At 51.7% G+C, this 13,340-nt stretch overlaps 1 protein-coding gene across 5 annotated transcripts in view, besides 2 other annotated features; it reads left to right on the top strand.

The window, feature by feature from the left end:
- The window catches only part of SDK2 (sidekick cell adhesion molecule 2), a 310,062-nt gene that overhangs the window by 140,705 nt on the left and 156,017 nt on the right, over positions 1-13,340 (top strand). The gene's annotated exons all lie outside the window — the stretch shown is intronic.
- Positions 10,663-11,521: an enhancer, noted in NCBI's record as "H3K27ac-H3K4me1 hESC enhancer chr17:71488359-71489217 (GRCh37/hg19 assembly coordinates)". NCBI's record gives its function as "activates a minimal SCP1, AML or CMV promoter by ChIP-STARR-seq in naive H9 embryonic stem cells {active_cell/tissue: H9 hESC(naive)}" and the evidence as "EXISTENCE:reporter gene assay evidence [ECO:0000049][PMID:30033119]".
- Positions 11,522-12,380: an enhancer, noted in NCBI's record as "H3K27ac-H3K4me1 hESC enhancer chr17:71487500-71488358 (GRCh37/hg19 assembly coordinates)". NCBI's record gives its function as "activates a minimal SCP1, AML or CMV promoter by ChIP-STARR-seq in naive H9 embryonic stem cells {active_cell/tissue: H9 hESC(naive)}" and the evidence as "EXISTENCE:reporter gene assay evidence [ECO:0000049][PMID:30033119]".

Raw genomic sequence — 13,340 nt, 5'->3', positions numbered from 1 at the left:
CAGGGCTTGAGACATCAGGATTGGCAGCCCTCACACTACAGCCACGTGGTAGGGAAGAAGGGTGAAAGTTGTTAACATAAGAAGGGAAAAGAGTGGTGGTTAGATGGAAGCCACCTGTGTCCCTGGCTCATAGCAGGTGCTTCTTTCTTCTCTCTTTTAATTTTGATTTTTTTCAAATCTTAGTAAAATCGTTAGTACTGTAAACACCTGCATACATGTACCATCACAATTGCTAACATTTTGCTCATTTGTGCTCTCTTACTGTCTCCCTACACACGTATAAACATGCACGTTTTCTGCTGAACTATTCAAGGATTTGCTGTAGACATCATGTCACTTCATTCATAAATAATATTTCCTAAGAGCAAGGCATTTACCCGCAGAACCATGCACGACACAATTTTCACAGTTGGGAAATTTAACAATGATACAATACTGCAATCTAAAAAGCAGCCTATATTCAAGTTTCTCCATTTGTTCGGATGGACGTACCTTTATCCCAGTGTCCTTCATGGCCATGGTTGTTGTTCTTCTTCAACGCCGGACCTAATCGGGGATCACGTGTGACCTTTAATTGCCATGAGTCTTGATACACCTTAAATCTAGAACTATTCCTTATTGTTTCTTTCCTACCTTTCATGGCTTTGGCACTTCTGAGAGTCCAGCCGGCTTTGCAGAATTTCCCTCAATGTGGGTTTGTCCAGTTATATCCTCATGATTAAACTCATGTTAAGCCTTTTGGGAAGCATATTTGTAGGTATGTGTCTTTGATGCTTCACACTGGAAGGTGCCTGATGACAATTTGCCCCGTTATTGGTGATGTTAGGTTTGATGAACTGGTCAAGGTGATATCCACCAGATTTCTCCATTGTCAAAAGGTTGAAGTATCTTCTTCCCTTCGTTATTGATGAGTGGACTATAGAGGGATAACTTGGGACTATGTGAATAATCTCCTTCCCACGACTCTCCCACCCAGTGGTTTAGTATCCATTGAAGAGTCTTACCCGAATCAGTTATTACTATGGTGGTTGGGATAAGGAGATTTTCTTGTATTCCTTTTACTTAGGTGGCATTCTTTTGTAAACAGCTTTCCTTTCTGACCCCCTTTAAAGTAATTTAGCATCAGTATAAACTCATGCATTATGGTTTTTATTCAATGTGCTTTAATCCACGCATGACATTGTTCATTTCCATACTCATCTTAACCTAAATTTGGCCAGTGGAGCTCCTTCAAGCTGGAGCATGGGTCCTTTGAATATATCCCCATTAGATTCTGAACATTTCCTTGTTTTGGGCTCAAAAAATGTTCCAGGTTCACCTTTTAAATAAATGCATACTGAAAAGTGCATTCCATAGGAGACTGTCCAGCTTCATAGCCCACGGCTCTCCAACCACTGCTGGATACTGAGGACTTCCCTGTCTTTTACAAACCCCAGGCTCTGAGTAAGATGATAATATCCAATTTTCAGGCAGGAAAATGGCTAAATTTACTCAGCAAGTTGAGAGAAAATAAGATTAGAAGTGCTGCCATAAATTTATGTTTCCAAAGGGAGGAAAGTTTATATTCATGTCCAGTCTCTGAAAGTCTTTATTCTTGGGTTCTGTAGCCAAATGGGTCTGGTGTGTGTGTGTGTGTGTGTGTGTGTGTGTGTGTGTATGTGCACTACACAAAGGCAAGCCTGTGCACCCTTCTGAGTATGTGTGATTGTGGCATAAATATGTGGGTCCACATCCATCATTGGGGTCAGAGTGAAAAGAGCATAGACGTTGAAGTCAGGCCTGCATGAATATGACCCTGTCCCTGCTAGCTCTGTCACCTTAGGCAGAAGTGGTTAGCCACCCTGAATTTGTTTTCACTTCTTGGAATCAGGCGCAGTAATGCCTGCATCAGAGAATTATTGTAAGGAATACCTGGGATTCTACAGGTCAAGCCCACCCTGGTGCAAAAGATGTGACATGAATGGTACCTGTTAGGATTATTCAAGGTGTCTGTCTCGACAAGATCCTGGAACAGATCTGATAACAAACCCCCTAGAAAATCACGTGTGTAGGTAGCTTGTCTCCTCTGAGTGGCCACCTGGGGCTCTGTACACCTGTGCAGAACTCCTCTTAGGCAAGAGCTGTGAGAACCCTTTGTTGGTGACAAATCATTATCCATTTCGAAACCAGCCTTGAATTCCCAGTTTGAGAAATGAGGTGGCTCTAAGAGCTGGGAGCACAGCAAGGAAACAAAGCAAAATCTGACTTTAAAGAAATGAGATCCTTTCTCTCATGTGAGCAGGAGGATACTGCATGGGAGACCCTCCTCAAGGTGTGGACACTGGCCCCACGGCCTGCCTCTCCCCTGGAACAGGCACGCAGCTTCCCAGAGTGATTCCTGGGGCATGTGCTGGGGACAGGTGGTGGGGGGGAGGAAGAACACAAAACTTATTTGGATATACAGAGTCTAATGTATGGAGTCTAATGTGTCTGCTAAAATATGTGTGTGTGTGTGTGTGCATGCACATGCATGTATGTGTTTGTGTGTGTATGATTCCCACACAGCCTTGTGTGCAGGTTAACAGTTAGTCACGAGCCTGTCTGAGTACAGCAGGAAGGTGTGTGTGCAACTCACATAAAAGCCCTAGAGGTCAGGCCCTCTAGTGTTAGTGCTGGAGCCTCTCTCATCTGACCGCTCTCAGCTCCCTCTTCTCCAGGAGCCATCTCCCAGGTTGAATCCTTTCAGCTTAAGTTTACATCCACTTCATCAGCAAGGGCAGCATGGCTGGAGACAACCCCCCTGGCTGGAGAAATGACAGGACAGGGGATGGAGATGGAGGAGGACAGAGGGAGGATGGATGGAGGATGGAGGAGATGGAGGGAGGATGGATGGAGGATGGAGGAGAATGGAGGGAGGATAGACAGAGGATGGAGAACTGAGGGAGGATGGAAAGAGGATGGAGGAGAACGGAGGGAGGATGGACAGAGGCTAGAGGAAGGATGGATGGAGGATGGAGGAGAATGGAGGGAGGATGGACAGAGGATGGAGGAGACGGAAGGAGGATGGAGGAGAATGGAGGGAGGATGGATGGAGGAGATGGAGTGAGGAGGGATGGAGGAGAATAGAGGGAAGATGGAGAGAGGATGGAGGAGATAGAAGGAGGATGGACAGAGGATGGAGGAGAACAGAGGGAGGATGGAGAAGGATGAAGGAGAACTGAGGGGGGATGGATGGAGGATGAAGGAGAACAGAAGGAAGATGGACAAAGGATGGAGGATAATGGAGGGAGGATGGATGGAGGATGGAGGAGATGGAGGGAGGATGGATGGAGGATGATGGATAATGGAAGGAGGATGGACAAAGGATGGAGGAGAATGGAGGGAGGATGGAGAAGGATGGAGGAGAATGGAGGGAGGATGGAGGAGATGGAGGGAGGATGGAGGAGGATGGAGAAGGATGGAGGAGATGGAAGGAGGATGGAGAAGGATGGAGGAGATGGAAGGAGGATGGACGGAGGATGGTGGAGAAGGGAGGGAGGATGGAGGAGATGGAGGGAGGATGGATGGAGGATGGAGGAGAATGGAGGGAGGATGGACAGAGAATGGAGGAGAGTGGAGGGAGGATGGATGGAGGATGGAGGAGAATGGAGGGAGGATGGACGGAGGATGGAGGAGAATGGAGGGAGGATGGATGAAGGATGGACCCTGCCACTCATCCTTGGGTCTGTGCCCTGGCAACGTCATCAACCAGATGATTTTGTCCCACCTTGGTAACACCTTCTGGCATAATTATTCTCACACTTAAAATCGAATAGAAGAAAAAAGAAAAGATGAGCAAGGCGATCACTCAAACACACACACACACACACACACACACACACACACACACACACACACACACAGATTCCCATGCATAATTGGGCATGCACGGATTAATGTTTATGGAGGCTCATGGGTGCCAAGTCCTTTACTGCCGTCATCTCACAACAGGTGAATCTCATTACCTTCATTCTGCAAATGAAGAACCTGAAGTTCAGAGAGGGTCAGAAACTTGCCTGGGATTATCCAGAGAGTGAGCGGCAGATCTGGGAGCACTGTTGGACCTGAGTGTGCTGCCCTCTCTGCAAAGGCACACATGGTTTCCCATTGGGCTCCTTCTGTCCCTGCCCCACATCACTGTGTGTCATTCTTCTGCCCCGGGGGCCATGAAGGCAGGACCCCCTTCCGAGAGGCAAGCGTGAGGGTGTGAGACCAGCTGAGGCCGAGTCCCACCCCTGGCCCATGTGGAGAAGAGCAGATGTGTGCAGGGGAGGCCCAGGAGAGCCAGGTGGGCATCTGGCCGGCCCCAGGCTGGGTCCCCAGCCCCCATGCCATGCTGAGGTCCTTGTGGCAGAGCTGTGGTGTCTGTGAACTGCATGGGCTTGGCAGCTGGGAGAAGAAAGTATATCTGAGGCAGAGAAGCCCTGCACATGTGACGGCCCCAGCAAGGGACACAAAAGCAGGGGACGCACGCGGAGCCACTGGCAGCCTTTGAAACTCCTCAGATAAGAAGATGAAGAGAAATTCCCCAGGCCAGCGGCTTTATCTCTGGCTTCTCTGGCCCTCTTTCTGGCCTCCCCTTAGAAGAGAGAGCAGGCAGCAGAGATGGGGAGGCAGAGGCCAGTGGGCCTTCCCAGAGGGCACGGGAGCACAGGCATGGCACAGGGTAAGTGCCAGGAACCGAGCCAAGCTCTTACGGGCAGCAGTTCTGGAAGACTAGTGCAATTATTATCTCTGCTTCCTAACTAGAATTCACAGCTCAGAGAGGTTCGGCAACCTACCCAAGGTCACACAGCCAGTACACGGAGTCAGGTTTCACCCAGGATCTTCAGGACCCCAAGCCTGCGTCCCTCCCCTGCTCTGTGCTGCCTGGCTGAGCTTGTCCTTCCCCCGGGCAGTGGCACTTTCTAAGCCACTGCAGAAGGAGAAATAGTACCTTAACTCTTATTAACAAACACTCCAAACGATCACCTACCTCATGCCAGGCCCCACACTGCGACTTTTACTTCGGTTCTTCTGAATCCCTTAACATCAGCAACTCCTATAAGGAGAGGCGTCTTGATACATGAGGAACACAAAGGCTCAGGTTTCATTTCTTGTCCAAGATCTGAAATCATAAAGTTAAGACAAGTGCCAGGCCTTCTGCTTCCAAGCCTGGTGAAGGAACAGCAGGAGATGCCAGCATTTGTTCATTCATCAGGCAAGGACTGGGGGCCTTCTGCCTGCCCGGCACAGAGCTAGGCAAGGAGGACAATCGGAAAGGCAGTGCCAGCCCCGCCTGCCCTGCCACCTTTGGAAATGTTTGTTCTCACTGGAGCTAGAGGTGCTCACAGGACTCTAAGTACCATGGCTGAGGAGCAACAGCAGGGGACTGAGGCCAAGTGAGCGTGGGAGTTTCAGGAAGAGGCAGAAAGAGGCGAACAGGAGCTGGAGGAGTTTGGAGCAGCACCTGGGAGACACAGAACTTGAGTAGTGTGGACAAACCGTGAGAGAAGGAGGTGCTCGTGTCAGGAGACGCCAGCATCCCTGGGTTACTACAATGGGTGCCGGTTGTGACCAGATACCGGCTGCTGGTGATATGGTCCTAAATAAGACAGGAAGATCCTGGCCCCCATGTGTAGAAGCAGAACTAAATAATAGTGCAAGTGTGGGTGGATCCAGTTTTGATGCGTGCTTTCAAGGGAAAGTAAGGTCAAACAGATTCCACTGGGGAAGTTGGGACCCAGAGAATGAGTGGAGGTAGCCAGGGCAGGGGGATGCCAAAGGAATGGTCCCTGCGGCTCCATCCAAGGACCTTGTGTCTGGAGGATCTGAAAGAAGGTCCACGTGGCCAAGGAGGACACTGGGGCGAGATCAAGTAGGGGCGTTTAGCTCTCTTAGGGACTTGCATTTTCTGCCAAAAGCTATGTGGAGCCCTCGAATGGTTTTTCCCAGGGAATGGACATGATCAGATGCTCATGTTTCAAATCTTTGCTCAGGAAGCTGGGTGAGAAGCGGGTGGAAGAGAGCAGAGAGGAGGTGTGGGTCCATTGTGCTGCGAGGGGCGGCTGGGCCATCTTGGTGGGAGCGGATGGGTCTGAGATGCATTGAGGAGGGATAACTGGTGGGACGTGAGGCTCTGCTGGCCATGCAGGAGAGGGAGGAAGATGGGCATTGAGGTGGTTGAGGAAGGAATCCCAGGCGGAGAAGGAGCTTTCTGGGAAGACACTGTACTCAGTTTTGGATGCTGGATCGGGATGTCCAACAGGCAACTAGAAGAAAAGTCTGAAGATATTAATTTAGGACTCACTGGTGTTGACATGGCAGGATGAGAGAATGAACATAGCATCAGAGGAAAGGGCTCTGTGGTCCCACCAGGCCATATATAAGGGAGTTGGAAACCAGCCTGGCAGAACAAAACCTAGAGGCTGGATGGGAGAGGGGAAGCCTGGAGATTGCAGTGTCTTGGGAGGAAAGAGGGTGTGTTCTTGGTTTAGGAAGGACCAACTGTGTCAACCGCTGCTGGATTCCAAAATCATGAGCTCAGGCTGGGCGCAGTGGCTCACGCCTATAATCCCAGCACTTTGGGAGGCCAAGGTGGGTGGATCACCTGACGTCAGGAGCTTGAGACCAGCCTGGCCAATATGGTGAAACCCCCGTCTCTACTAAAAATACAAAAGTTAGCCAGGTGTGGTGGCTCGTGCCTGTAAGGCCAGCTACTTGGGAAGCTGAGGCAGGAGAATTACTTGAACCTGGGAGGCAGAGTTTACAGTGAGCCAAGATCACACCACTGCATTCCTACCTAGGCGACAAAGCGAGACCCCATCTCAAAACATAAATAAAAACAAATAAATAAATCGTCAGCTCAATTTAGGGACATAGAAGTCTGGTGACCTTCAGGAGGGGGAGGATGGGGCAAGTTGAGGAGTTAGAGAGGGATGAGCAAGTCGGGGCAGGGAGTGGAGGGGGAATCCTCACAGGCAAGTAGGAATCAAGAATTGGAGACTGGAAGGGGCATGACAGGTTGAGCCAGTTGCCCTAGGAAGTGGGAGACATGGCTGACCCAAGATGGCAGAGGTAGGACCTGGAACGCCAGGAAGAATCTTCTCGGATATATCCAGCAGGCAGTGGACAGTCTCGAAAGGATTTTGGTCGAGGGAGTACAAGACCCTGTATCACCGGGTCCTGTCCATCTGTCCAGCCTCCTCTCTCACTAACTCCCTTCGCTAATGGGCAGAACGCATCGTGCACCCGTGGTCTCTGCTCTTTCATGCCCTCGTGCCCATGCCCACCTCTGTCCTCCACCTCTACCGTCCTCGCACGCCTCTGCTACCTGGCAAACCGTTGTTTATCTTCCCAGATCCAGCCCCAGCATCCCACCTTGTGATGTCCAGTCCTGCCCCTGACTCACTGTGTGCCTTTGAGCAAACTGCCTAATCCCTGCCTCGGTTGCCTAGTCTGGGAAATGGGAATAATAAGACCAGTAGCTACCTCCCAGGGTGGCTGGGAATGTCATGCAAGATGAAGCGTGCAGAAGAGTGTCTGGTCACAGATGGCTCCATCAATGGAAAGGATGGTCTGAGAGCCACCAAGGGCATGACGCTGACTCCCACCCAGCAGGGCAGGCTCCTCCCACCTCATTCTTCCTGGCCACGGTTCCTTCCCACCCTCCCGGGAAGTCCAGGTTCCTTTTCCTCAATGAGGCTAGATCCTATCTGCCTGTTCCAGCCCTTTGGAGATTTACTCCAATTTGGCCATGAGCTTGGACATCTTGTCTGAAAATTGAAGGCTGATGGTGAGAAAACTGAAGTACAGGAATTAGTTATGATGGGCATAAATTGAATTTTAATAGAGATGTACGTGGCATGGAGCCAGTGTACTCAGGCAGAGGGAAGGTAGTAATTAAAAGTTAACGAGTTTGGAAATGGCGAAATCCTCAGGGAGGAATGGGAGAGGTGGGCTGGGAGGAGGAGCAGGCTGTCCTTCTCCCGACCTGAGGCCAGCTCCTCCCACTCCTGAGGATCGGGGAAGGTGGGGAGGCTGAAGGGACCCCATCTGCCTACATAGCACGCATGCACACACACACATACACAAACAAACACACACACACACACACACACACACGGGGCAGGCCTCCAATATCCAACAGCGAGGCAGAGGGCGAGGCAAGGGGTATCACTATTTGAGGATCCTCAGGCCACAGCCTTATGCTGCCTGGGAGGAAGGCACCAGCTAGAAACAGCTAGAGCAGGGCTTCTCAGCCTCAGCACTGCTGACATTGGAGGATGGAAAGTTCTTTGTTGGAGGGTGGGAGTCTGTCATGCGTGATGTAAGGTGTTAAGAGGCAGCCCTGGCCTATAACCCCTAGATCCCAATAGACACCTTCTGGATGTGACAACCAAAAATGTCTCCAGATGCTGCCACCTGTGTCCTGGGGCAACAGCACCCCCATTGAGAACCATGACCTACAGTGAGGTGCTGGCATCCCCTGGACTCTCCCAGCTGGAGCTGAGCTGCCCTTCTGTGCATAGGTGCCCTGGCACATGGGGTCAGGGTCCTGGCATGGAAGGAAGGGGTAAAGAGCTGGCTGGCCACCCCTCGCTCCCTCTTGGGGGTCCCTCCAGCCCCCTTTCTCATAACAATTCAACTAGAAGGCGCTTCCTGCTGTACAGGCCACCTTCCTTGATGCTCTGTTGGATCCTCAGCCCGGGGCAGGTACAACACCTCCACTGCGCAGAGAAGTCAGAGGCTCAGAGAGAATGATTCACTCCCGCCTCCTCTGATCAGTCCTGCTAAAACCATTAGCCAAGAGGTTGAGGCCACTGGTGCCAGAGGACATGGGGTGGTGCTCCTTACGACCTGCTTCCCACAGATGCACGCGGTCCTGCACGCAGCCCGTGCCCCCACCCTGGCCTGGGAGGCCCCCTCCTGCTTTAGGACAGGTTCTTCCCGACATGAGGGGACCGAGTGTGGCCTCAGGATTTGCTAGTCAGTAGCAGGGAAAGGCAGGGTGGTGGCAGATGGGAGGGAGAGAGGCAGCAGGGAGCATCCCCAAGGGTCAGTGCTGGTGCTGGGCAGCGAGAGGCACAGCTGGCTCCTTGTGCCTTGAGTTGACAACCTCGCAAAAATTATGTCAATTAAGACTAATAAGTTCAAAGTGTAAGGGGAAAGGCGGAAAAAAGATGCAAAAGTCTCTCAAACCGTGACTGGCTTGGTTTCCATAGCAACCTGTTTGCTCACACTCTCCGTAACGGGTCCTGGCTTGGGGAGAAAATGGGTCCCCCACTCCCGAGGAAGCTGGAGATGGACGATGGGTGTGGCCTCGCTGGACCTGGGCTGAGGACACCGGTGCAGGGGGCAGGCAGGGGAAACTAGGAGCTATGAGAGAGTCACGCAGCCACAGAACACCTCAGCTGGCATCCAGGCCAAGCCCTGTCTTACAGGGGGGACATGGTGGCCCTGAGTGGAAATGACTCCTTGGGGGACATGGCATGAGTTCACATCAGAATTAAAATTCAGACCCAGGCCCCCTGAGTCTCCGTGCAGTGCTGCTTGGATCTCACTGGGCTCCCCAGCTCCTCAGCATCCTGGCGTGATCAGAGGCAAAGGTGCCAACATCAATTTCACTCAGTGTCATTTCCCTGGTCAGGCTGGGCCCCTGGGAACAGGAGAGGGACTCGCCGGGTCAGGGATGGGAACATTGCCAGGCCCGGCATCCCCAGGTCACATGTTCTGTCCTCACCTCTCTCTTCTGATGAGATGTTTGCAGAGTTCCCTCGGTGTCCTTGTTTGATTGCAGGATCACACAAGGACGTCACAGCCCACAGAGAGCTGTAGGTGGGACGGGGAGGACATTTCTATGAAACTGTGGAGCTCTCTGAAGCTGGGGCAGGCAGGGCGATGCTGCTGTCTCTCAAAAGCACCCTGTGTGCCCATGCACAGCTCTGGATGTCCATCCATAGTCCACAGAGCATGACCCCACACACAGCCATGCACAACATGCCTTCATTAGTGTTAATGCATTTAATTCTCACAAGGAGGGCTGTGAGGATCCAAAACACCTATTGCTTTGCTTTTACTTAATACAAAACACTTAATGCCTCCCATTTTATAGATACAGAAACTGAGGCCCAGAGAGGTAAAGTGACAAGTCCAGGGTCACACTGCAAATTAGCGGGGAGCTAGGGATGTGGACCTGCCACCAGCTCCTCTGCATGGAACAGTCTGGAATGCACAGGTGCGCACACACAGCCACACCCTCACTTCTTCCTGTCATCTCCTCCCACTTCCCAGCAACGGATGCATTTTCCATGGCCCATCCTGGCAGCCCTGGGGCCCCGCTGGCCACATCCGCCCAGACTCTCCAATGTGCCGCACAGAACATGCAAATGAAGCACTCGCCGCCGCCTTTAATGAAAGGCTCCCGAGGAAAGCTCTTCCCTGATGAACTGAGGCTATTTATTTCCACCACAAGGAAATTTAACATGCAAATTAGGAAGGGTTTCATCATTCATCACCTGAGATTGACATATTTGAATTTGGCCTGAATCCCTGGTTAACGGGTGCACAGACATGGGTGCAGGCCATGTGTGGCCCACAGTCCTTGGGGAGGGGAGGGTGGGCTCCATCGGAGGCACATATGTTTTTTATCTGGAATGGTTCAGTGCATGGAAATGAGAGTTCATTCTTTTTCCGCACACAGCTGGGCTGGAGACCCCGCTTACCCTGAGAATCTCCCGCTTTCCACCCCCTCCCAGGTCCTCCTGCGCCCGGCCTTGGCTCTCAGCCAGGACACAGAAACTAATTAGATCTTGACTCAGTTATGCGCTCAGGCAGGCAAATGGTCTAGACAGACGCCTGGGGAGTTGGTAATGACCCCTGCTTCCTGGGGGCTGCCGTGGCGCCTGACTCCCCTCCCCGCCCCCAGCCCATTCATAGGATTCCTCAGTGTGGGAGGGTGCAGGTACCTCTCCCCTGTGTCTTCGTCGCCCTGAAGAGGAATATCTGCAGTGGGCCATTTGGCAGGGGAGCTGGGGTTTCTGACTTACCAGTCCAGTCTTCTCCCAGGGTCGCCCAAGTCCGCTGGGATGGCAGAGACTCCTCCTGGGAGGGGGTTGAAAATAGGGGTTTTGGCTCTAACTGGCAGCCCCTGGGGGCTGAGAGATGCTGGTGTGTTCTGTAACTCAAGATAAACAGAAGGCATAGGAGGGGGTTCCAGGCACTGGTGGGCTCACAGACAGCTGGAGAAGGAAGAGGCTGTTCTTTCTGCAGAATGAAGACTAGTGACTAAGAGAGACAGTCTCTCCAGGGGAGATAGGGCACAGTCCCTGGAGGCCAACCCACAGCACATCCACAGGCTCCAGCCACCGCGGCACTCAAACACCATGGGCCTGGGAGTGCACAGTGAGGTCCTGCCTGCAGGAGCGTGCCGGCCGGGCCACAGATAGCTACTCTGCTCAGCTACCTACTGCTGCTTAGGAAACCAAATCAGCACTCGGTGGCTTAAACAACCGGGATTATTATTCCCCCTGGTCTCTCCTGGGCTGGCCATGAAGTTGTGCCCATCTGGCAGTCGGCTTGGGCTGGGCTTGGTGGGGACAGCTGGGTGCAGGATCTCTTTCTCCACGTGGTTTCTCCTCCTTGGTAGCATGGTGGGCCACCATGGTGTTGGGGCCCTGATCTTAGAGGGTGAATGTAGAAGCTACAAGGACCACATTCTGTCAATGAAAGCGAGGCATGAAGCTGGCCCAGATTTCGGGAGTGGGGAAATGGACTCCACATCCTGATGGGGGTCACTGTAAAATATCAGAGCTGTGCTCCTCAGTCCCCTCCTGGCCTCCTCTCAGATCTGGCCATTACCCCAAAGCCCACACCGACCACCTTTTCCAGATGGCGGCTCGCAGGCGGGTCCCCAGCGCTTCCTTAGCACAGTTCTGGTCCAATTCTCCCACTTGGTATCTCTGAAGGCACCCGCAAGGGTGACTTTGGAACACCCAGAGAGAATGGGCAAGGATTGGAACTGAGTCACGGAGGACAAAGAGCAGAAAGCTCAGAGCTGGTGGGATTGAATCTGGGACCTGCTGCCTGTGATCTGAGCAGACGTTGAGGAAGGTAGAGAGAGGGGCCAGGCACAGTGGCTCACGCTTGCAAGCACAGAGACCTGTGCAACATAGCGAGACCTCGTCTCTACTAAAAATAAAAATGTTAGCTGGGCATAGTGGTGCACGCCTGTAGTCCCAGTTCCTTGAGAGGTTGAGGTGGGAGGATCGCTGGAGCCCAGGCGGTCAAGGCTGCAGTGAGCCGTGATCGTGCCACTGTACTCCAGCCTGGGTGACAGAGCAAGACCCTGTCTCAAAAAAAAAAAAAAAAGCCAAAAAACAGAAAGGCAGAGAGAGGAGTTGGCTCTGGGGCGTAAGGCTCCCAGCAGCCAGGGTCATAGCTTCTGACACCTGGGACTGAAGCTCCCCAGGCTGCTTTGCTGGGCCAGGGCTTGTCCTAGATAAGGATATGTTGAGCCATGTCAGGGTGCTGTTAGAGGATGCTGAGAGCAAGGACAGATGAAGGAGTAGTAATAACATTAATAATAATGGCAACAGCTAACTCTTAAAGATTGCCGACTATGCCTTACGCCAGCCCATATCCTAAGCACACTACATGTATTAACTCATTTAATCCTCACACTGGATCTTCAGGTAGGGGCTATAGTAGGGTGGTTAAGAGCACAAAATCTAGAAGCCCACTGGGGCTCTGCCAACTACTGGCCATGCAAACTTGGGCAAGTTCCTTAACATCTTTGTTCCTTGGTTTCCTGATCTTTTTTATCTGCCACATTTGGATATTATTATTTCTGACCTCGTAGGGTGGTTAATAAGGAGTAAATGCATTATCACATGTGAAATGCTTAGAACACTGCCTGGGGCCAGGTGTGGTGGTTCACGCCTGTAATCCTAGCATTTTAGGAGGCCAAGGGGTGGTGGATCACTTGAGCTCAGGGGTTCGAGACCAGCATGGACAACATGGCAAGACCCTGTCTCTTAAAACATAATAATAATAATACAAAAATTAGCCAAGTGTGGTGGTGCATGCCTGTAGTCCTAGCTACTTGGGGGGATCACTTGAACCCAGGAGGTCGAGGCTGCAGTGAGCTGAGATTACCCCACTGCACTCCAGCCTGGGTGACCAAAAAAAAAAAAACCCATCTCAAAAAAAAAAAAAAAAAACACTGCCTGGCCCATATTAGTAAGTATTGTTACAACTCCTATTTTATAGATAAGGAAATGGAGGCACAGAGAGATTAGGCAGCTTGCCTAAGGTCACACAGCAAGTGGAATACCCAATCAAAA

The sequence above is a fragment of the Homo sapiens genome, chromosome 17, assembly GCF_000001405.40.
Source record: "Homo sapiens chromosome 17, GRCh38.p14 Primary Assembly".
Lineage (NCBI taxonomy): Eukaryota > Metazoa > Chordata > Mammalia > Primates > Hominidae > Homo > Homo sapiens.
This window is presented reverse-complemented; position numbering and strand designations above follow the sequence as displayed.